General features: G+C 55.4%; 1 protein-coding gene across 28 annotated transcripts in view, besides 2 other annotated features; it reads right to left on the bottom strand.

Annotated features, from left to right (window-relative positions):
- Positions 1-23,592, bottom strand: part of MCF2L (MCF.2 cell line derived transforming sequence like) — a 205,408-nt gene that overhangs the window by 35,475 nt on the left and 146,341 nt on the right. For 25 of the 28 annotated variants that reach the window (NM_001438391.1, NM_001438392.1, NM_001438393.1 and 22 more), the window contains 2 exons: positions 18,907-18,997; positions 3,556-3,675 (listed from right to left, as the gene is read on the bottom strand). In NM_001438391.1, coding sequence (NP_001425320.1) covers positions 3,556-3,675; positions 18,907-18,997 — 211 coding nt within the window. Of the gene's footprint in view, positions 1-3,555; positions 3,676-18,906; positions 18,998-19,379; positions 19,623-23,592 lie in introns of those variants that run through there. The other 3 variants (XM_011537491.2, NM_001366645.2, NM_001366646.2) reach the window with 1 other exon arrangement.
- Positions 13,198-13,784: an enhancer, noted in NCBI's record as "H3K27ac-H3K4me1 hESC enhancer chr13:113704798-113705384 (GRCh37/hg19 assembly coordinates)". NCBI's record gives its function as "activates a minimal SCP1, AML or CMV promoter by ChIP-STARR-seq in naive H9 embryonic stem cells {active_cell/tissue: H9 hESC(naive)}" and the evidence as "EXISTENCE:reporter gene assay evidence [ECO:0000049][PMID:30033119]".
- Positions 22,421-23,167: an enhancer, noted in NCBI's record as "H3K4me1 hESC enhancer chr13:113695415-113696161 (GRCh37/hg19 assembly coordinates)". NCBI's record gives its function as "activates a minimal SCP1, AML or CMV promoter by ChIP-STARR-seq in primed H9 embryonic stem cells {active_cell/tissue: H9 hESC(primed)}" and the evidence as "EXISTENCE:reporter gene assay evidence [ECO:0000049][PMID:30033119]".

The raw sequence follows: 23,592 nt of genomic DNA, 5'->3' as shown, positions 1-23,592 counted from the left end.
TTATTGTTGGCTCCCAAAAGAGCTGCCCCATCAGCAGAACACCCAGCAGCACAGAGAGGACCACGTCTGCCTGGATGCTGCGGGCGGCTGTGTGGGTGGGGGCACCTGGACACTGCGGATGGATGTGCGGATGGGATGCAGCTCAGCGCCCCGCCGACACCTCCTCTCGTGGTGGCGTGTGTGTGTTATGGCCCTTATGATGGAGATAACTCCGTGCGCCCTCCTTCCCTGCTATTTGGCAGGCACTGCACACTAGCCATAGGCTTTGTGACCACAGACGTGTCACGGGGAGCAAGACCGACCTCACGGGTCATCCATGCCACAGGCTCCCCTGCACAACGGCTCCACAGCAAGCCGTCAAAATGGGTTTCACAGAAATCACCGGCATCTTCAAACTCACAGCCCCACTTAGATAATTCTTGAAATTAGAGTGGATGATGTGAAGGATGCAGTTGTTGACACGTGTGTGTCCGTGTTTCAGTGCCGTGTGCTGAACTCAGCCGTAGAAAGGAGACATGAGGGAGAACAGTGGCCCCGGCACCTCTGCTGCCGTGACTATCTGGCAAAATCACCCCCAGTGGAGTCCCCACTCTAGACTGATACGGTATTTAATAAAACATGATGTGGTGTCAAATAACCCCTGAGCTAAACCTCAGGAGACCCATTTTGTGGTCCCGTCTGACTGCTTGCAAAGCCAAGCCTAGATTTTATCCAAACCCTGGACACCGTGGGTGGCTGTGTGGACAGGGGCGCCTGAACGCTGTGGGCAGCTGTGTGGACAGGGACGCCTGAACGCTGTGGGCGGCTGTGTGGACAGGGACGCCTGAACGCTGTGGGCGGCTGTGTGGACAGGGGTGTCTGGACACCGTGGGCAGCTGTGTGGACAGGGACGCCTGAACGCTGTGGGCGGCTGTGCAGGCAGGGGTGTCTGGACACTGTAGGCAGCTGAGCGGATGGGGGCGCCTGGACATTGTGGGTGGCTGTGTGGACAGGGGCGCCTGGCTTCGGACCTGTGTGGACCCAGATGTGGGTCCCACTCGCCCGCAGGCCAGCCGCCCACTCTGTGTCTCAGCTGCCTCCTTCGTAAATGGGCACGTTGTGCCTGAGCTCATCATGCCACGGTGAGCAGCAAATGGTGCTGTTGGAGGTGCACAAAACTCCACACGAGTGCGGCCTGTGATGGCCAAGGACATGCAACAGGCGTTTACACCTCCTCCAGCAACATCATCAAACAGTGCTCTGATGGGAGAGATGATCATTTTTGTCCCTGTTCCTGCCGAAAATACCCCGCGGTCATTGTAGACACCAGTTGAAATCAACACACCACCACTGAGGCCGGACGGGGAGAGTGGCTGGCAGTTCCCACACGGTTATGGTTATGTGGAAAACCTGTGGTTGCGACGGCCGCATAAGCTCCTCTACACACGCCTTGTCTTCATTTTTCTGCATTTCTCTTGCCCTTTTTGAGGTCACTCCATCCATGGGTTTGGACAGTCAGTCACGGCAGCAGAGGTGCCGGGGCCACTGTTCTCCCTCATGTCTCCTTTCTATGGCTGAGTCCAGCACACGGCACTGAAACACGGACACACACGTGTCAACAACTGCATCCTTCACATCATCCACTCTAATTTCAAGAATTATCTAAGTGGGGCTGTGAGTTTGAAGATGCCGGTGATTTCTGTGAAACCCATTTTGACGGCTTGCTGTGGAGCCGTTGTGCAGGGGAGCCTGTGGCATGGATGACCCGTGAGGTCGGTCTTGCTCCCCGTGACACGTCTGTGGTCACAAAGCCTATGGCTAGTGTGCAGTGCCTGCCAAATAGCAGGGAAGGAGGGCGCACGGAGTTATCTCCATCATAAGGGCCATAACACACACAAGCCACCAAGAGAGTAGCTGTCTGCGGGGCGCTGAGCTGCACAAGCCACCACGAGAGGTGCTGTCTGCAGGGTGCTGAGCTGCACACGCCATCACGAGAGGAGCTGTCAGAGGAGCTCTGAGCTGCACACGCAATGCCTAGCTCATCCTGGTGTCAGGACATGAGCCTCCCACTGCCCACGAGTCCCTGCTCTGCACGGTTTTGTCGCTGGTCGTCTCTAGGGAATGGACTGTTCAGACACTAAGGCTTCTCCAAGGCTACAAAAAACGGTACATGCACAGAGTTTCCCAATGGCTTGGAAGCTGGTGGTTCTGGGGCCACCAAAGCACGATGGCACAGAGCCCCATGGGTGCCATGCAGAACACCCTGCACCTGCAGTTACTGCCCCAGGCCAGGCACCAGGGTCACGGGTGACACCCAGAGTGGACTGCGTGGGGGTGGGCAGAGTGGATGGGGCCTTGTGACCCCCAGGGCTGTCTTGGGTAGGGGGAGAGGAGGAGGAAGGGGAGGAGGAGGGGGAGGGGGAAAAGAGGGGAGGGGAGGAGGAGGGAGGGGGAGGGGAGAGAAAAGAGGGGAAGGGGGAGAGGGAAGGGAGGGGAAGGGGGAGAGGGAGGGGAGGGGAAGGGGGAGAGGGAAGGGAGGGGAAAGGGAAGAGGGAGGGGAGGGCAAGGGGGAGGGGAGGGCAAGGGGGAGGGGAGGGGAGGGGAAGGGGGCAGTACATGGGGAAAGGCCCCAGGCCGTTTTCTTCCCTGTCAGAGAAGGGCTCTTGCACCTTTGGCATTGAGGCTGTAGCGCAACGAGGGTGGGGAGGGAGGGCTGGTGCCACCTGATTCCCAGCGCACAGGGAGTAGCTTCACAGTGAGCGACCTGCACCCCAGATTGCCTGGTTTCCAGTAGCATCTGGCTGGTGCCATGGGGTGCTCTGCGGTGCCTGGTGCTGGCCCATATGTCTCTGTTCTCTTTGTGGCAGAGAAGATGTGAGCTCGCCAAGGCAGCTGACCAGGGCTCTCCGGGGGAGCTACACAGCTCGGGCTGGTGACCGGGCTCCACAGGCTCTAAGGGACTTTGTGAAGCCTTTGTTCTTTAAAGGACAGCAGATCAGGACTGAAGGTGCTTTCTCAGTGGGCAGTGTTGGGAGATGCTGCCCTGTGCCGGGATAGTGTGGTGGCGATGGGGCAGGGGTCACCCTGTTGGCTGCTCCAGGACAGGTCCGGCCCATCCCTGTCAGCAGTGGGTGCTCCCTCCCAGGTCCAGAGATGCTTACAGCCCCCTCCCCAGCCCTTCTCTCATCCCTGGGGTGCAGGCAGGGCCTGGGCTGAGTTCCTCGCGGGTGGGCCAGGCGGACTCTCAGCCCTTAGGGTCTCAAGTTCTGTAGTTCTCCTGGGGGTATGAATGTCGCGTGACCCGCGTCCTGATGGGATGCCCACACGGTGGCCTCTCTGAGGTTGATGCTCTGTGCACCTCTGGCGGGGTGGGGGCTGGGGGCGGGGGTGGGGGAAGAAAGGATTGTACTGCTTCTGGCAGCATTGAGGAGGTGCAACTTCCCGCCAGGTCCTGCGGGGTTTTGTTGACCGTGTGGCCCTGAAGTCAGCTCCTCGAGGATTTCGATGATCACAGATGGGCCAGGACGGCAATGAGTTCCGTTCTGCTACCGCAGGATGGAGGCGGGGCGCACTTACCGGCACCTTCATCTTAAAGTCATCTCTATTGAATTTGAAAGCGATGTCGGAGAGAGTCCTTTGGAAAAAACCCGTCGGGCGAAGCACGAGGACGAGCTGCAGGTTTGCCGGGAAAGATGCCTGTGAGAGAGGGCGAGAGACAAGGGCCTGCAGCGTGCTCTGCAGACAGCAGCCCCCCTAGTGCGGTGCCTGCACGCTGGGCTGACCGGGGGCGCGCAGCTAGCGGCCAGGCATCCTCAACGCAGCAGGTTTATGCTGAGATAAACATGGTAGAGATGCTGGCCTCTGTGAAAGGCATCTCTTTTCTAAAAGAAAAGAGGAAAAGCCTCATGTCTTGGCAGAACGTTATGCTGCTTACAAATGTAAAAGTCCAAAGCTTACGACAGTTGTTAGGGGCTGAGCTGTGTCCCCCCAAATTATGATGTCGAAGCCTAACTCCCAGTGCCTCCGAACGTGACCTTGGCTGGTGACGCGGTCTTTACAGAGGTAACCAAGCTAAAGTGAGGTCATTAGGGCAGGCCCTGATCCCAGCACCGCGTGGAGAGCTCCCAGAGAATTTGCTGGTGGAGGCCGGGGCGGTGCTTCCACACCCAGGGAGACCCAGGAGGCAGCCAGACCAGAAGCTGAGGAGAGGCCTCGAGCAGAGAGACGCTCCCCATAGCCTTGGAAGGAGCCCCCTCCGGCCACACCTGAGTTCAGACTCCGCCTCCGGGGCTGGGAGGGAACAGCTTCTGTGCGCCCAGTGGTCAGTCTGTAGTTACTTTGTTACCATGGCCCCAGGAAACCAAGACACTTGTCAAATTTTATAAAAGCAACATAGACACATGTGTGTGTTACCTACAAAAATAAAAATAATCTTGTGCCCTGGTGTGCACACACGGCCTTGGACACAGTTACATGAATTTATTTGGAAACTGGCTCTGCCTCTTACAAGGCGTGGGAACTTGGGTAGGTCACTCCCCTTCTCTGTGTCTCAGCTTCTCCATTGGGAAAGTGGGGAGACCGGCAGTGCCTACTCATGACACCCTTTCGAAGATGAAATGGACCAAGGCGTGCGTGGCGTTCAGTGGACACCTGCACCAAGGAAGCGCTCAAAAGCCGCGATGACAGACGTGCAGTGATGGTTGCTCTCGACACCAAGTTATGTCCAGATGCTGAAATCCAGGGAGACCCCATCACCAAAAAAAGAAACTGAAGCAACTGAGTTTGATTTCTGGATAACTAAGTTAAATGCACCTAAAATATGACATATAGAAAAGAATGGCATTGCCCTAAAGCCCGAAAGGAATATAGCAGCAAGGACTAGAGGAGGAGTGACCGACTCACCAGGATGTCCTGCCTGGGCACTGCCCCAGCCACACTCCAATGTTCAGGCTGGCCTAGCGAGGACCATAAGAAGAGGGCCCTGAGGTTAGGAAGCTGGGGTAGGGTCTGAAGTCAGGGGACGCGTGGGGCGTGGGCCAAGTCTGGGCCCTCCAGCCACGCTGGCTGCAGGGACACCTGGGCTCATCTCTACTGCTGACAACATGATCTCAGGCGGGAATTCTAGATCGCGCACCCCAAGTTCCAACCCAGCTCTGGGATTGCAACATAAGTGGCTGGGACCTCACTTAGGATTATACAATGCCTTTTCCACAGTTGTGGAATCCTAGTAGCAAGACCTTGACAAGTCTGTCCTCAGCACCCAAACACTCAGCACCCACTCAGCACCCAAATGGCACTGAAACACTCAGCACCCAAACAGCGCTGAAACACTCAGCACCCAAACAGTGCCGAAACACTCAGCACCCAAACACTCAGCACCTAAACACTCAGCGCCCACTCAGCGCCCAAATACACAGCGCCCACACATCACCCAAACACTCAGCACCCAAACACTCAGCGCCCAAACACACAGCGCCCACTCAGTGCCCAAATACACAGTGTCCACTCAGCCCCCAAATACTCAGCCCCCAAACACACAGCGCCCACTCAGCGCCCACACAGCACCCACTCAGTGCCCAAACAGCGCCCATTCAGTGCCCACTCAGCGCCCAAACACACAGCGCCCACTCAGTGCCCAAACACTCAGCACCCAAACACACAGCAAACACACAGCAACTAAACACTCAGCACCCAAACACTCAGCAACCACACAGCAAACACACAGCTACTAAACACTCAGCACCCACACAGCGCCAAAACACTCAGCATCCAAACACTCAGCTCCCACCACTCAGCACCCAAACACACAGCACCTAAGCACTCAGCACCCACTCAGCACCCAAACACACAGCACTCAAACACACAGCACCCACTCAGCACCCAAATACTCAGCACCAAAACACTCAGCACCCACTTAGCGCCCACTCAGTGACCAAACACACAGCACCCACTCAGCACCCAAACACAAAGTGCCCGAACACTCAACGCCCACTCAGTGCCCAAACACTCAGCACCCACTCAATGCCCACTCAGCGCCCACACACTCAGCACCCAAACACTCAGCGCCCAAACACACAGCGCCCAAAAACTCAATGCCCACATAGTGCCCACTCAGTGCCTAAACACTCAGCGCCCAAACACACAGCGCCCACTCAGCACCTAAACACTCAGCACCCAAACACTCAGCGCCCAAACACTCAGCACCCAAACAGCACCGAAACACTCAGCACCCAAACACTCAGCACCTAAACACTCAGCACCCATTCAGTGTCCAAACACTCAGAGCCCAAACACTCAGCACCCAACACTCAGCACCCAAACAGTGCCAAAACACTCAGCACCCAAACACTCAGCACCCAACACTCAGCACCCAAACACACAGCACCCACTCAGCACCCAAACACTCAGCATCCAAACACTCAGTGCCCAAACACACAGCGCCCAAACACTCAGCGCCCACACAGTGCCCAAACACTCAGCACCCAAACACACAGCAAACACGCAGCTACTAAACACTCAGCACCCAAACACTCAGTGCCCACTCAGCACCCAACACTCAGCACCCAAACAGTGCCAAAACACTCAGCACCCAAACACTCAGCACCCAACACTCAGCACCCAAACACACAGCACCTAAACACTCAGCACCCAAACACTCAGCACCCAAACACACAGCACTCAAACACACAGCACCCAAACACACACCACTCAAACACACAGCACCCAAACACACAGCAAACACGCAGCTACTAAACACTCAGCACCCAAACACTCAGCACCCAAACACTCAGCGCCCACTCAGCACCCAACACTCAGCACCCAGTGCCAAAACACTCAGCACCCACTCAGTGCCCAACACTCAGCACCCAAACACACAGCACCTAAACACTCAGCACCCAAACACTCAGTGCCCAAACAGCCCCCAAACACTCAGCGCCCACACAGCACCCACTCAGCACCCACTCAGTGCCAAAACAGCACCCATTCAGCACCCACAGCACCCAAACACAGCACCCACTCAGCACCCAAACACACAGCACCTAAACACAGCACCCACTCAGTACCCAAACACACAGCACCTAAACACTCAGCACCAAAACACACAGCACCTACTCAGCACCCAAACATTCAGCACCCACTCAGCACCCAAACACACAGCACCCAAGCACTCAGCACCCAAACACACAGCACCCAAACACTCAGCACCAAAACACTCAGCACCCAAACACACAGCACCCAAACACTCAGCGCCCACTCAGTGCCCACTCAGCACCCAAACACACAGCACCCACTCAGCGCCGAAACACTCAGCACCCAAACACTCAGCACCCAAACACACAGCACCCACTCAGCACCCACTCAGCGCCGAAACACTCAGCACCCACTCAGCACCCAAACACACAGCACCCACTCAGCACCCACTCAGCGCCGAAACACTCAGCACCCAAACACACAGCACCTAAACACTCAGCACCCAAACACACAGCACCCAAACACTCAGTGCCAAAACACTCAGCACCCAAACACACAGCACCCACTCAGCGCCGAAACACTCAGCACCCACTCAGCACCCAAACACACAGCACCTAAACACTCAGCACCCAAACACTCCGCACCCACACAGCACCCAACCACTCAGCACCCAAACACACAGCACCCAAACACTCAGCACTCACTCAGCGCCAAAACACTCAGCACCCAAACACACAGCACGCAAACACTCAGCGCCCACTCAGTGCCCACTCAGCACCCAAACACACAGCACCCACTCAGCACCCACTCAGCGCCGAAACACTCAGCACCCAAACACTCAGCACCCAAACACACAGCACCCACTCAGCGCCGAAACACTCAGCACCCAAACACACAGCACCCACTCAGTGCCAAAACACTCAGCACCCAAACACACAGCACCTAAACACTCAGCACCCAAACACTCCACACCCACACAGCACCGAAACACTCAGCACCCAAACACACAGCACCCAAACACTCAGCACCCAAACACACAGCACCCAAACACTCAGCACCCAAACATGGACCAGGTCACCTGCCTTGTAGGAATTAAAACCAGAGATGTGCCCCTGCCCCTTGTGCATAAACTAAGGGCTCGGTCACTGGGCGGCTGCCCTCCCCGTCCAGGGCAGGTGGACAATGTCCTGTCACTGGGTGGACACTGCACACCTTTCCCACAGGACCCCTCCCATGGAGACCTCTGCTTCATCTGCATTGCGTGGGGAGGGCAGGGACCACGGCCCTCAGTGGCCGGCACACTTGGCAGGTCCTCTGCGGGTGTCTGCTGCGGAGTGGATGAGGGAGGGGAGGCTGATGGCTTCCGGGGGACTCTCCTGTCTCCGCTGCTCTCCACACCCATTCTCTCCAGCCTCGGCCCCCAGGGAAGTGCTCTGGAGGGGCCCTGCATCTGCGCCCTCTCTGCCCCACCATCTCACACGACGCCTGGACATAGACTAAGGCCACAGCCATTCACCTTCTGCAGGGAGCACGTGTGGGTAAGATGCTGTGACGGACAGGCTGAATTACAAGCAGGGAATCGTGAGCTGAGCATCTGCCAGGAGTGTGATCCTGGTGGACGAGGCGCCTGGGCAGTCCTCCTTCGAGAAGCAAGCCCCAAAGAGTGGGACGCCCCAGGGCAGATTCTGTGTCTCAGCAAGGGGCGGACTGAAAATCCCTCACACTGCTGTGAAATTGGACACCACTATTTACGGAAAACCAGTCTTTTTCTGATGGTGCGATGAATCACGCTCTTCTACGTTTCACTGTCGTTTTTATCACCTGGATCTTTAAGGACAAGCTGAGAGCCTGAAGCTCAGAGATGAAGCCAGGTGTGTGTGTGTGTGTGTGTGTGTGTGTGTGTGTGTGTGTGTGTGTGTGTGTGTGTGTGTGTGGCGGGGGGGGGGGTCCACGTCTCCAGCAGGTGCAACTATTTGCCCCTAAAGCCTCTGGGAGTGAAGCATACCCCTGCAGCAAGGCTGGTCCCTGAGGCTCTGCCAGCATCAAACATGACCCCCTCTTCCTTGGCTCAGTTTTAGGGTTTCGTATTTTAAGTTATTGGATCATTATATTAAATAGAATAAATTGGAAGATCCTAGCTGAGTGAGAAGGTGCTAACGATGTACACAAACACATACTTTGAATAAATATAACAGCAAATAAAATTTTCTCTGAATTGGAGTTGACCGTTTGTATTAAAAGCTGGGGAAAGTTCTAAAATAAAAACTTTATTTTAAAAGATGGGGGTAAGTATAAATGGTAACTGGATGAAGAATTTGGGATGGAGGCTGTCAAGTCTTTTTGTAAATTACTCAACAGTAAAGTAATCCTATAGGTTTCTATCTAACATGAAAACAATATTGCTCATTTTCTGGGCTGACCTGGATGAACTTAGGAACAGATATGTGTGATGACCACAGCACTGTAGTCTGGAGATAGAAAAAGAGTTCACTGGTTTCTGAGTTAATATTCTTAGAGACTCAGAAAACAATCGCTGCATGTATTTACCAATGCAGCTAAAGCAACAGGACATGCTGGGAACTTTGTAGAACTGGGTACTTTGGGGAACCCTGTTTGAAAAACCCTCCCCAAGTTCAAATCACCTTCCTTAAGGTCTGCTCCAAGCCACACCTATCCAGCTTGACATTATATATTTAATTTCAGAGCAACTGAAACCTCACCAACTACATTTGTCTGACAGTAGCCAAACAGTAAACACAAGTTTATATAAAAAATATGCATTTGAAAGTTTGTTTGTGTCTCTGTGTTAACAGATGAAGAAGACGTTAGAGCCGGAATCAGAGACGCTGGACCGGGTGAGGAAAACAATGGGCGTGGACCCTGTTCCTGCAGATGTTCAGACACGAGTGCTCAGAATGGCCGCTGCCGTGTGCGTGAGGCCATCACTCCTAAAACCAATCCTAAAAGCGCGGCCGTTTGGGGACTGGTCCTCTAGCAAATGGTCCTCTAGAAAGCCTGGGAGAAAATACAGGGAGAATCTGCAGACACACATCCAATCGCACTCCCACTCCCGAATGTACAATAATCTCCACGAATTTCACGGGAAGCAGACCTGGAGAACAGGCGTGCATCCAGGATCCTGAGATTGGACTCGAATGACATTTGGGTGGGGACTACTATGAAAATAGGACAGTCTGTTGATTGATTGATGGGAGGGAGCTCGCCGTCTCTCCCACACTCACCCCGCAGCTCAAGCCAAGCCCCAGAACCTCCCCTCGGCTTCTCAGCAGACACCAGCAAAGTTGTGCCAAGGTTCTGCCCAGCGTTGGTTGCGTTTCGCCGATTCGGAGCCGTGTGAACTGAGCTCCCATCAAGAGTTGAGGAGTATTCGGGTTGTTTTTCTGGTCAACTTGTTAACCAGCTCCCTAAGGACCAGGACCCTGAAGGGGCGTGCATGTTTACTTTGCAATCAGTGAAAACCTCACTCTGCAGAGGCGGAGAGTACAGGCAAGATCACTGGAGACACAGCTGCAGGGACACAGGAGGAGACAGAGTAACAAATGGAAGGAGGCTCCAGGCAGGTGTGGATGCAGACGCCAGGCACCTGCTGCTCCCCTTGAAAACACAGCCCTGTGGCAACCACCACCGAACCACCCATTCAGGCAGAAACGGTCAGTGGACACCTCAGCCACGGGACCTTCGCCCCGTCCTGAGCATCACCACACATGACCCACTGATTACCAAGAGGAGAGGCACCTTCTCCTGGGGAAATCCGGACGCCTCCTTGGCCGTCTGAGCACACAACACCGCCCCAATCACGGGACACATGGACATCCTGGGCCTCCACGGGCTGCCCCAGAAGCTCACCCACCAGGATTCCCGCCCCAAAGGACCACGTGGAACCTAATTACAAGGAAACCAGATGAAAGGATATTCCATAAAGCAACTGGCTTCAACCCTTCGCAAATCTCAATCTCACAAAAGACAGAAAGCAAAACAAAAACCAACAACTGGGTGGATTAGAGACGACTGAGAAGGGTGGACAGCTGACGGGGGCGCCGTCCTTCACTGGACCTGGATTTTAACAAATACAGGAAGGACATGACGGGGCACGTGGAGAAAGCCCCATGTGTGGGCATCCAGAGGGCAGTGTGGCCGCGATGCAGACTCGCCTGTGGTTATGCAGAGGGCAGCTCCACTCAGGAGACACCATGTCAGCAATCCGGGATGAACTGACACGATGGCAGAGCCGGCTCTCACCAGCAAAATGTGTGTGTGTGTCTGTGTTTATGTGATGTGTGTATATGTGCATATATGTGTGTGTTTGTGTGTGATGTGTGTCTCTGTGCCTGTGTGATGTATGTCTCTGAGTGTATGCATGTCTGTGTGATATGTGTGTGTGTTTATGTGATGTATGTGTGGGTATATGTGTATATATATGTGTGTGTCTGTGTATGTGTCTATGTGATGTGTTTTGTGTCTGTGTGATGTGTCTGTGTGATGTGTGTACATGTCTGTGTCTATGTCTGTGTGTTTTTGTACACACGCACACACACACACACGAATGGGCACTTTGTTTATGGCCACAGCTGAGGTTTGTTCACTGTGAGACTCTCCCAAGTTTTCTGTAGGTCTGAAATTTTTCTGAACTGAAAGTTGAGAGGAAAAAGACACGAGGCTGCTGCAGCTCACAGCTCTTCTCCTCCATGCGTGGGGCAGCTGCATCTCCCCTCCCTCCTGATCCGACCTTCACTCAAATGCCTGAGCCACCGGGATGCAGGGGTTCTGACTCCGTGCAACGAGCTCTAAGCTGAAAAAAATAAACCAGGCAAATAGTCTCGCTCCAGGCATCCAGGGGAGTGAAGAGCAGCGCTGGAGAAGCTCAGCCAGCAGTCCCTGGCCTCTCACCGGCAAGGCCTGGCTCTGGGTTTATCAGTCAGGGAAGCCGGCGTGGCCTGCAGGGTCCACGGCCCACACGGAGCCTCATGAGGCACCTGGTCCCAGGGACCCCCGGGCTCCTTCCTCTTCTCTGCGAGAAAAAACCGCTGAGCGAGCCCGGGTCTCAGAGCTCTTTCTTTTTCTCTGTTTATCTTTTTAAAAAAATGTTTCTACATTTAACTGACAAATCATGATTGTATCTACTTACGGGGCACCCAGTGATGTTTTGCTATAGGTATCCTCAGTGGAATGATTAAATCAAGCCAATTAACCGATCTGTCACCTCACCCACTCACCAGTTTTCTGTGCTGAGAACATTTAAAATGGATTCTTTTAGCAATTCTGAAATATACATTTGGTGTGGTTGGAATGTTCGTCCCTACCAAACTTCGAAACTCATGGCAGCATTGAGAGGCAGTACCTTTCAGAGGTGACTGGGTCAGGACGGCCCCACCCTCATGAATGGATTCATCCATTCACGGATTCTCGGATTAACGGGCTGTCGTGGGGGTGGGTGGGGGCCTGGTGGCTTTGTAAGCAGCGGGGGCAGCCCTGGGCTGGCTCACTCTCCCCTCGCCAGGTGAGGTCCCGCGTCGCCTCAGGACCCACCAGCAAGAGGGATCTCACCAGGTGAGGCTCCTCAACTGTAAGGCATGAATTCTTTTTCGTTGTAAAGTGCCCAGTTTCAGATACTCTTGACATATAAGCAGCAGACCCGGACTAAGACAACCTTGTTATTCACTGTGTCGCCTCCGAGGTCTTTAGAGAGAGCAAAGTGGCTCGTGCCGCCCGTTATTGGACCCTTGGATTCCATGTTCCAGGAAATACACAGTGAAGAAGGGCTTGGGGCCTCTGGATCTCCCACCCCTGCTGGATACCCCAAGGCTGTCAAATCCACCCTTAGGTGGGAGGAGCGAACCCTCGGATGAAGGACAGTCGTTTAAATAGACGCTCTCAGCGTCGTGGAAGCCTCACGGGCTGCCTCCCCCTGCAATATTCTGCATGACCGGCACCGCCCACCGCCGTGGCCCTGGGACCACCGGAGTAGGGAGAGAGCTCGGGCTTCAGAGACAGAAAGGCCCAGGCCGCCCCCAGAGCCGCCCCACCCCATCGGCAGCTTCCCTCGTCGCCCCGAAGCCCAGCTCCTCCCCTGTAATCGGCGGTTGGTGAACGCGCAGGGTGCGCTGAAACGCATTTGCCACAGCAGCTGGTGCGGAGGAGACAGCCTGCAGATCCTGGTCCCCTTCTGTCCACCACGGGGGGACTGTGCTCACCTGGGCAGGTGCTTGCTGCACACAGCAGCGGTGTTCTGAGAAAGCTCAGCCACACCGGGAAGAGCTGGGTCCCCCACCCCCGTGTCGCCGCAGTTATGCAGCGCGCATTTCAGTTCCCTGCCCTGGGGGACGGTCTCGCCTCTTCCGAGAGGGGCACACGGACCTGGCCCTCTCTCCCTCGGCAGCCAGCTGCTTTGTGTTCCCAGGGGAAGCTCCTCGCCCCCCTCCATCTGGACAACTCCTCCTCCCGTCAGGCTCTCACCAAGCATCACCTCCGCCGGGAAGTCCTCCTGGAGTTAGCACCGCTCCCACCGCCCCCTGCCGCCCCCCTCCCCCCGCCACCGCCCCCCGCACCCCCCCGCTCCCCCCGCCCCCCCCGCCCCCGCCCCCCCTGCTCCTCCCGCCTCCCCGCTCCCCCAGCCACCCCCCCCTCCACCGCCCCGGCCCCCACGGCTCCCACCGCCCCCACCGCCCCCACGGTGAGCTCCTCCCCAGAGCCCCAGTAGCTGGCACAGGGGGGCCGCATACAATCGTACTTTGCAAATGTGAAAGATTTGCTGGACGACCTAGAAGTCCGGGGTCCCTCAGACACCTTGTTTTCTACCTTTCCTGCACACACAGACTGCACCGGCGTTACAGGAAAGAGAGTTGTGGCCCCATGCAGTCTAAAAATCAGATTCACTTTCTCCAGCCACCTACTTGAGGATCTAGATTTAGTTTGATTTAGGCTAGCTCTAAACATGAATATATATACTCTATTACAAATTCCCAAAATGTGAACACGCACACACACACTCACTCTCACACACACACACTCTCACACTCACAGTCTCACACACATTCACTTACACTCCCACTCGCGCACACACTCACACACTCACACAGTCTCACATTCACTTACACTCCCACTCGCTCGCACACACACACAGTCACACACTCACACTCACACACTCACACATGCAGTACAGTGGAAGAGGGTTAGATGTTGCAACAGCATTTTATAAAAGATGCTTCTATCTGAGGACCGCACAACTGCCTAAGGGAGAAGAGACGTGAGTTCTCAGAGGATCTCATCTTTCTGCCCCCTGGGTGGGTAGCTGTGAACCTATCCTTCTCCCACACGCCCTCAGCATCACATGGGTCTTGCTCTCGATTGGGAGCCTGGTTTTAGGAACACTGGATTTTGGCTCTTCCAATGTCTAATTTTTCTATTCCAAGCCATGCTGAAGGCATCCAGAAAAGAAAAAAGAACACCCCAAATTAGGGAGAGCTCAGCTCTTAAGACAGCACATATGGTGGCTAAAAATAGCCCCGGATCCCGGCACATTATGTAAGCGCTGCGTCCTCCTCGGTGGCCGAGCGCTTGGAGGCAAGTCTCTGCCACGGGCTTGCTTTGTGGCGCCCGCAGCACCATGAGCTGGGCACCCTGGTGGGGTCGGGCAGCTGGAGCCTGTGCCTGTTTGGAAACCTGCTTGAGGGCTCGGCTGGCCTGGACTGTTGCTAAGTGCTAGTTTTCCCAAAGCCACTTTAGGTGGAAGCCTAGGCCAGCCAAAGCTCGCTGTCAAGGCCTGGAGCCCAGGGGTTGGCGTCCAGGTGCCCCGCTGCAGCCACTACTTGGTGTCCCCACGTCAGGTCAACTGCACCATTTCCAAAAAACTGAATCAAGATGCCCAAGGGGTCATCCCTGGTCTGCCCTCTCCAAGGAGTGCGTGGCTCATGGACAGAGCCTGGGGCCTCCCCGCCAGCCCCACCACCCACCCCTTCCCCACTGCAGAGACCCTCACCCCTCCTGGTCTGCCCAGGACCTAGGCTTGGCTGGGTCCACAGCTGCCCTCACTCCCTTGACCAGTGACCCTCTAAGCCTCAGCACATGCACAACCAGCTCCTATGACAGTGCCACCACTGCCCGCCTCCTGCCTCCTTGGCCTTGTGGCCCACTTCTCCTTCATGAAACCAGGGCTGTGAGCTCCATGTCTCCTGGCCCATCCAATGTCCACCATCATCATCTCCTGCCGGTTTCTCATGCCCCTCCTGCACCAAACCCTTCTGGAGGCGGCGGGCTCCTGGGTAGCAGGGGCCTGGGGACAGGAAGACGCCCTCTCCAGGGTCACAGCCCAGGTGGATGGGGCCTGGCATGTGGGGCCTAACTCTGCCCCCTCCCCATGGCTCAGCCACCCTCCTGGCTGCTCCCTGCTGCCCCTGCCTGTGACCCCATTGTGATGCCCCTCAACTGTCCTCACCCAGCTGGCGGTGAGCCTTGCTCACTTCCTCCCTCACATCCGTGATGCCCAGGCAGTGCCTGGGACAGAGAAAAGCCTCAGGACGTGCTAACTACACAGAGTCTGTGTATTAATATGACCATAAGCCGGGCGCGGTGGCTCACACCTGTAATCCCAGCACTTTGGGAGGCCGAGGCAGGCGGATCACGAGGTCAGGAGATTGAGACCATCCTGGCTAACGTGGGTGAAACCCCGTCTCTACTAAAAATATAAAAAATTAGCCGGGCGTGGTGGCAGGTGCCTGTAGTCCCAGCTACTTGGGAGGCTGAGGCAGGAGAATGGCGTGAACCCGGGGAGGCAGAGCTTGCAGTGAGCTGAGATCGCGCCACTGCAGTCCGGCCTGGGCGAAAGAATGAGACTCCGTCTCAAAAAAAAAAAAAAAAAAAAAGACCGTAAATTATTATAGCAAGAAAGCACTGGTGTTCAGAGAGAATTCTGGGTGATTTTGCTGGAAAATGCTGGCTTCTGTTACTTCCAAACCAATGTTGGTCAATTCTGAGAATTAAAGGAAGGACAGAAAAAGCCATATTTTTATGGTGTAAGAATCAATGCAAAAATAAAAACTAAAACACTAACTGTTCAGTTATGATGCTCACAAGACAGAGCTTTCAAGATGAGCCAACCTGCTTAAGAAATTCATCCGATCACACACTCGGTGAACGGAACAGGACACTCGGCAGCTGAAGATCGACACCTAAATCACGGGTCTGCTGTGGGCTGCTTCGCTATCCTGTAGGGTGACCTCGCAGAAATACTTTGCTTTTAGAAAATGATTTTTGTATTTCTTAAAAAGTAACCTCGTATCTGGGGAAGCTCTTGTCATCTAACCCGGGAGTGACTGATTAATCTGAGACACACACGTGGTGATGTGTGTGCGAGGGCACTGGGGCACGCGTAGCGAGGCGTCAGCGGAGGGGCCGGGGCACGCGTAGCGAGGCATCAGCGGAGGCTCTGGGGCACGCGTAGTGAGGCGTGAGCAGAGGGGACAGGGCACGCGTAGCGAGGTGTGAGCAGAGGGGACGGGGCACACGTAGCGAGGCGTGAGCAGAGGGGACGGGGCACATGTAGTGAGGCATGAGCCGTGTGAGGGACGGGCTGTGGCAGGTGTGTGAAGATGCAGGTGCCTGGACCCCACGGGCATGAAAGGCACCCAGGTGCGTCCTGACACCGCAAGTGCCCTGGCAGGGAGGCCGACTCCTACACCCACGTGTTGCTAAGAGTCGTCCTGATGGCTGGTTTATATCAGCGGCAGGTAAGCATAAAAGATGCGGCTGTAACGGTGTTGTCTGTTGTTTAAACGACGACGTGCCTGCTGGGAGCATTGTGGGACCCGCCCAGGACGGATGGGTGCTTCCCAAGAGTATCTGTTGTCCGTCCATGTGTGTCTGACCCCGTGGGTTCTTATGATTTAATTTTTAGAGTTGCCTATGACTTCATGTGCAAACTCATTTAAGACGTACAATAATGAAAGGCACACATGGCTGTTAGCTGGTGATGGCTTTTATCTAAAGAACTTTCTGCATTTCTGGGGATGCTTGATATGGATGGGATTTTTGTCCCCTCCAAGTCTCATGTTGAAATGCGATTCCCAGTGCTGAGGTGGGGCCTGGTGGGAGGTGATTAAGTCTGGGCGTGACCCCTTATGAATGGCTCAGCGCCATCCCCTTGGTGACGGGTGAGTTCTCGCTCAGTAAGTTCACTGGAGATCTGGCTGTTCAAAAGTCTGGGACCTCCCCCTTCTCTCTCGCTCCCTCTCTCACCATGTGATGCCGGCTCCCCGCTGCCTTCCACCACGACTGGCAGCTCCCTGAGGCCCCCTCAGAAGCTGAGAAGATGCAGGTGCTAAGCCTGTGCAGCCTGCAGAACTGTGAGCCAATTACGCCTCTTTCTTTATCAATTACCCAGCTCAAGTACGTCTTTATAGTGACGCAAAAGCAAACGAACGCACTGTTAAAACAAAGGAAGACCGATTCTATACACGTCTACTTTTTTGGAAGCATCCTGAAGCGTTTTGAATTATTTCAGATAACGATGCCATAGGTGGTGTGTGCCAGGTTGAGTCAGGGTCAGGAACGGGGATCCGCCGCGGCGAGGGGCAGAGAGGTGCCGTGGGGGTGCAAGGAGATGCCTCATCCTAAAGACTTCGATGAGAACCAGCGGCTCAGGGACAGGCTTGCACCAAAACGATGAAGGTTGTGGGCATCGGAGCAGATATGGGGCCTCTAATTCTTGTAAAAGATGAAGGAATGAGGCAATGTGCGGGGAAAGGAATGACTTTTTTCAGTATACCTCAAACCTTGGCGCACCAGCCAGCAGCCACCGAGAGGCTGGGGAACCCAAAGGTAGTCTGAACGCGGGACCCAGGAAAGGCCAGGAGAATCTGACTTCACTGGGAGAATCTGACTTCACTGGGGTTTGGTGCTGGGGAATGCTTGGAGCAATTGTGCCATCACAGCTGAGGACCCAGGGTCCCAGAGCCTGGGAGGGACGGGCTGTGGCGGGCGTGAGAACATGCAGGTGCCTGGACCCAGGCTCTGGGTCACCTCTTGGCAGACAGGCAGCCTTTTTTGGTCCTTTGGCAGCAATGAAATTTGGACGGACAGGCGGGGAGAGCGAGCGTGGGTGAAAAATGCTCCATGCCGGGGTCATGCATACGGGTGGGAGCTACCGACAAAAATAAGATTTGGGGGCTTCTGCTGACTTAATCTCTTCCCTCTTAAATGATTACTCTGGGTTAAAACCAACAGCAAACCCAGCTCCCCTTCTGCTATGGAAGGCAGCGTGCAGAATCTGCAAACAGACTCTCGGATGCCAAGGGAAAGTCCTTGGAAAGGAGGGTGGCTACATGCGAGGCTGGGTTACTGGGGAAGGGAGGCGGTGGTGGCTAGTTCAGTGTCGCAGCTAGATGGCCTGATTTGGAAAGGAGAAAATCACATAGGAAAGCTGTGCAGTACCACTTCCAACTTCCAGCCTGGAGCGTCTCTGCACACAGCCCCCGTCCTGCCTGGTCAGGACTGTTGTGCTTTGTGTAAGAGGAAGTGCATGTTCAATCCCACTGGGGAAGGGAGGCGGTGGTGGCTCGTTCAGTGTCACAGCTAAAGATAGATGGCCCGATTTGGAAAGGAGAAAATCACTAATGTATAAATATGTAAGAGGCATATTCAGTCCCGAGCATCTCAGACTTGGTGTTCGGAAACATATGGGCTGCTCTGCCTGGGGAAATTGTTTGCAAGTCACATTGGGCTCCCTAAGAGTTCCTTCATCTGGGAAAACTCACACCCAGGCACCAGTGCCTTGGGAGCCCAAGCAGGGGGGGCCTTGGCGCCGGCCTCCACCCGCCGGGACTGGGCTCTGTCCCACTCAGCACAAAGCAGGAACTGCGGCAGACACAGAGGAAGGGCACCATGCGGTCATGCAGCCCAGGGAGGGGCCGGGCGCAGGGCAGAGCCCCGGGTGGCACTTACTGCGATGCGCAGGACGGACGCCTTCACGGAGGTCCATTTGTCCCGTCGCCGGTCTATCACCAGGATGAATCCGATGCCAGCGTCCTGCAGGCTGCAGTGAGGAAGAGACGCCGCCGTTAATGTGTGCAGGTGGGAAGCCGGCTGCCCACGAAATCCCTCAGAAAACCTCTTGGGAGAGCGATCCCCCATATTCATGATGCCATTTCTGCAATACCAGGTGAGAGGCATGGCACACGGGGGCCCCGGCAGCCCCATCCCCGCAGTCCCAGAACCTGCTCTCATCTACGGAAGGGCAGGCACTTTTGGTGTGTTCTTATTTCTCAGCCTAACACCAACCACCTCGAGTCACAGATTGAGGCAGAACCATCTCTCCCGAGCTCAGTCATTTGCTATTCCACAGTAAGAGCCGAGTCATTTTCCTTTCCTGGGTGACCAGCTGACTAAACCCTCCAAAACAGTCTTATGGCGCATACATCACGCCGGTCCTGGCATCTGAGGTGCCCGTGCTGGTCCACGTTAAGGATTCACTCGTGGTGGCATGGCTACGGTGCTGGGAGAAAATCCCCAAGACTTCTGAAGGTTCCCAAGCATCTGCTGGAAACGGGAGAGGAGGCAGCACTCTCTGCGACAGCCACATCTGTGACAGAGACCACACTTGCGCGTTGTATAACGACAGCCTCCGTCCTCGGATGAGCCTGGTAGTAGAAGCCTGAGTCACAGAGTCGGTGCGGAGAGCCCTCTTCCGTGGGCTCACTCTGCAGCCAAGCCAATTGCGTGATGCCAGCAGCTGCTACCACCAGCCAATCCAAAGCAGAAACAACCACACGGGCATGCCTAAGGCAGGGGCTAGAATCGCTAACTTCCAAGTCTCTGAACATGTCCTAGGTTTACATGAAAATCAGAATTCTGCAGGATGGAGATAAATTATGCAGTCTATGGGCGTGGCCGCTCTCTGTGAGCATCATTAACAAGCCAGGGATTTATATCGGGTGTCTCAGATCCTTCTGACGCTCGGATTTAAAGACAGAAACAGCAACTCCCAAGACATGAAGACGAGGCAGTGACCCCCGAACGTTCATGTGTGGTGGGTGCTGCTGCGTCTGTGTCCCTGTCTGCATCTGGCCGTGAAAAATGCCTCACATGTAGGGTAATTTGATTCAATAACAGCAGAAACCTTCTGGGTGAGTACACGAATAAACACTAGCTTTCATTCAAAGCAGCCTTCTGCAGTGGGCACTAAGCACGTGCACGAGCATGGCGAGTCAGCGACTCCATTTCACAGCTGTGGGGGCCACAGACAGAATTCGTTTTCTGATCTGGCTTAGTTCTTACGGAGCTAAGATTTTTTTTAAAGTTATATTTTCAGCTGGGCGTGGTGGTTCACGCCTGCAATCCCAGCACTTTGGGAGGCTAAGGTGGGTGGATTACTGGAGCCCAGGAGTTCGAGATCAGCCTGGGTAACATGATGAGACCCTGTCTCTATGAAAAATACAAAGATTAGCTGAGTGTGGTGGCGCATGCCTGTGGTCCCAGCTACTGGGGAGTCTGAGGTGGGAAGATTGCTTGGCCCAGGAGTTTGAGGTTGCAGTGAGCTGTGATGGTGCCACTGCACTCCAGCCTGGGCAACAGAGCGAGACTGTCTCAAAAAAAGAAAGAAATAAAGTCATGTTTTCATATTTCCTTATTTACTTCTTGAGTCTGAGCACTTTGACGACTTTTTCTGAACTGTGAGACACAGTGGGTACAGGGAATCTTACTTCCCGTGTAGACCTGTGTGCTCCCTTGGGAGAGGCACAAAGTTACAGGTTATCCTCCAGTAACAGGTGCTACACGTGCCTTTTCCACAAAGGGACCTTGGATGTGCCAGGCCACGGAGATGGAACCCAGCTGCCCTCCCTCTTGCCCCAGGCGGCGTGGTCAGAGCTGCCTTTGGACTCCAAGCCAGGGAGCTGATCCCGGAGCTCTCTGGGTCCCAGTCCTCCTAGAGTGAAGGAGAGAAGAGCCCAGAATGACTAATTTCCACCGAGCACGTAATCCTCAGGCCAGCGAACCCAGTCAAATGCTTTCAAGTCCTGAAGCAGGGGTGATGCTAGCTGAGAAACGCCCCAAGCTGCCCACCTGCAGGTTTGCTCAAGAGCCCCTGCCAAGGGGCTGTGTGTTGGGCGGGAGGGGCTCACCGCCTCTGCGACACTGGCGGGCTCTGGTGGGCCCCGCAAAGGCATCACCCTGGACAGGTGACTTGGCTGTGAACCATCTCTGCTTCCTTTTCTGTAAAAATGAGGACAATCGTAGAATCCACCCCCAGCGGTTACCGTGAGAGTGAAATGAAGCCACTGAGTATGCTGTAACCCGCAGCGCTGCCTGAGCGGCGTCACTGTTTTGCAGAACAACAAAGCCTGACTCAATTTCTCCCCTTTTCCCTGGAATAGAGCTCTGATTGGGGTGGAATTTCAGCCTCTGGGTTCGCCCACAAATGCCCCCGCTACTCCACAACAGCCCAGACCAGCAACGGGGACCACGACTGCCATGTGAGAGCTGCTGGATGCAGAATGCACCCCCCAGACCTCTGTGGCCCAAACACATCCAGTTATAGCCAGAACGCACCCTCCCCCAGACCCGTGACCCAAACACATCCCATTCTAGCCATGGAGCTTCTGCCCCACACGCGGCCAAGCTCCTGCCTCACTGCCCACAGTGCCCGGTGCCTCCCACATCTGGCTTCTCACGCCGTTAAGTGCGCGTCTGCCTCACACCCGGCAGTGCAGGCTGACGCTGCAGCCACGAAAAAGGCGCCCGATGCCACTGGATGCCGCCCGGCCTGCCTGTGTGGGGCTTCCACTCACTCTACGTTTAAATCTTTGTGTTACATTGTAATGGGAACACCAGTATCACAAATAGGCATCCGTTTTCAATGAGAAACCAGTTACCAACGACTAAAACATTTTTTAGAAGTCAAAATTGCAAGTGAAATCTAAGGTGTCATAAATTTATTCGATTCAAAAAATGCATACTAGGAAATCAGTTTCTCAACGAGAAGGACGGACTGGTTTCCAGGTGGTGTTAATGGGGCAGTCACTGTCGCTCAGCTGCAGAAGGTGTGGGTCCTGGGCAGGAAGGCAGCGCTGGTTCCTCCTGCCCCAGCCATGCTCACCATCGTGGGTGCGGGCATGGGGCACGCGTGGGAATGGGGTGCGGGCCCAGGGTGCGCGTGGGAACGGGGTGCGGGCACAGGGCATGTGTGGGAACGGGGTGCAGGCAGGAGGCATGCTTCTTCAGGGTTAGAGACTATCCTCAGCTGTGCTATGGACCAGGCACTGTGCCAACAGCCCTACAGCTATTCATCAAGCTCCAGCGACCATCCCGTGAGGCTGGTGCTATGATCCTCTCCAGGCACAGAGAGCTTTAGTCACTTGCCCAAAGTCACATAGCTGTGAGCACGGACAGGGGAACCTGGCTCAGACACCACGTGTGCTGCCCCTAAGGCCACGTCCACCCTGGCGGCCTCCTAATGTTCCCACCAAGCAGGGACCTGACCCCAGATGCCCACACACCAGCACTCAGCCTCCTGCCCTGCGCAGCCCCCACCACGACCTTGCCCCCTATGCAGGGCCCAGGTGGACACTCGTCCACACCCCCTCAGCCCCATGTCTCCTCTCCTACCACATTTCGGGAACACTGACTCAGAAGGTGCAAAGCCTGGACTAAAAAAGCCTCTGACGTGAGGATGTAAAGAGCCCCTAGCACCTCCTCTACCCATACTGACTGTGGTCATGGGGGCAGGGCCACATGATCCCCCATACTGACTGTGGTCATGGGGGCAGGGCCACGTGATCCCCCATACTGACTGTGGTCATGGGGGCAGGGCCACGTGATCCCCCATACTGACTGTGGTCACGGGGGCAGGGCCACATGATCCCCCATACTGACTGTGGTCATGAGGGCAGGGCCACGTGATTCCCCGCCCCCCCACGGCCCATGGCATTCCCGAGGCTGCACTGCCCAAAACCGTGAGGCAGGACCTGGATCTGCTCACAGGAGTGAGGACCCAGGGCTCACGGAGCTCGGATCTATGCCCACATCTGTGGCCTGTGTCTGAGGGAGAGGGTGGTGTGGCTTCTGCCCAGTTTCAGCAGGAAGCAGTCCCCAGAGTCACCAGAGGGATGAAGGTGATGGTGCCGGAGGAGTTGGGGTAGAATAACTCAAGCTGGCAGCCACCCCAGAAATGTCCCTCGCACCCAGGGCACAAACACAGCCCATAGATGCCCCATCAGCTGCCAACTCCGCAACAGTTGGCCTTGGAGGGGCTGCCCTGGCCAGTTTCCCAGCAGCTGAGTTTGAGGCCAATGAGCTCACTTTTGGCCCAAATAAGTAAAAAAGGCCCAGCGGTCTCATAAAGTTTCAGGAATGTTCCAACTGGCTGCGTCTTCTGTGACAGAGACCCAAACCACTCAGGGCTCGTGACCTTGGGAGCCCCATGGTCCCCCACCCATGTGGGCAGACAGCCCACTGGCCTGCGGGTGCAACCACAGCTCACTGGACAGGAGCAGAGCGTGAGGGATGGTCTGCAAGCAGAGGCTGGCTCCTCTCTACCAGTGGGGCGGGGAGGCCCCAGCACCACGTTCCCCCAGTGCCTGGACATCTGCCTCTGCTGCGTGGACATGGTGGGGGCGAGGAGGATGCTTTGTC

The sequence above is a fragment of the Homo sapiens genome, chromosome 13, assembly GCF_000001405.40.
Source record: "Homo sapiens chromosome 13, GRCh38.p14 Primary Assembly".
In the NCBI taxonomy this organism is placed as follows: domain Eukaryota; kingdom Metazoa; phylum Chordata; class Mammalia; order Primates; family Hominidae; genus Homo; species Homo sapiens.
This window is presented reverse-complemented; position numbering and strand designations above follow the sequence as displayed.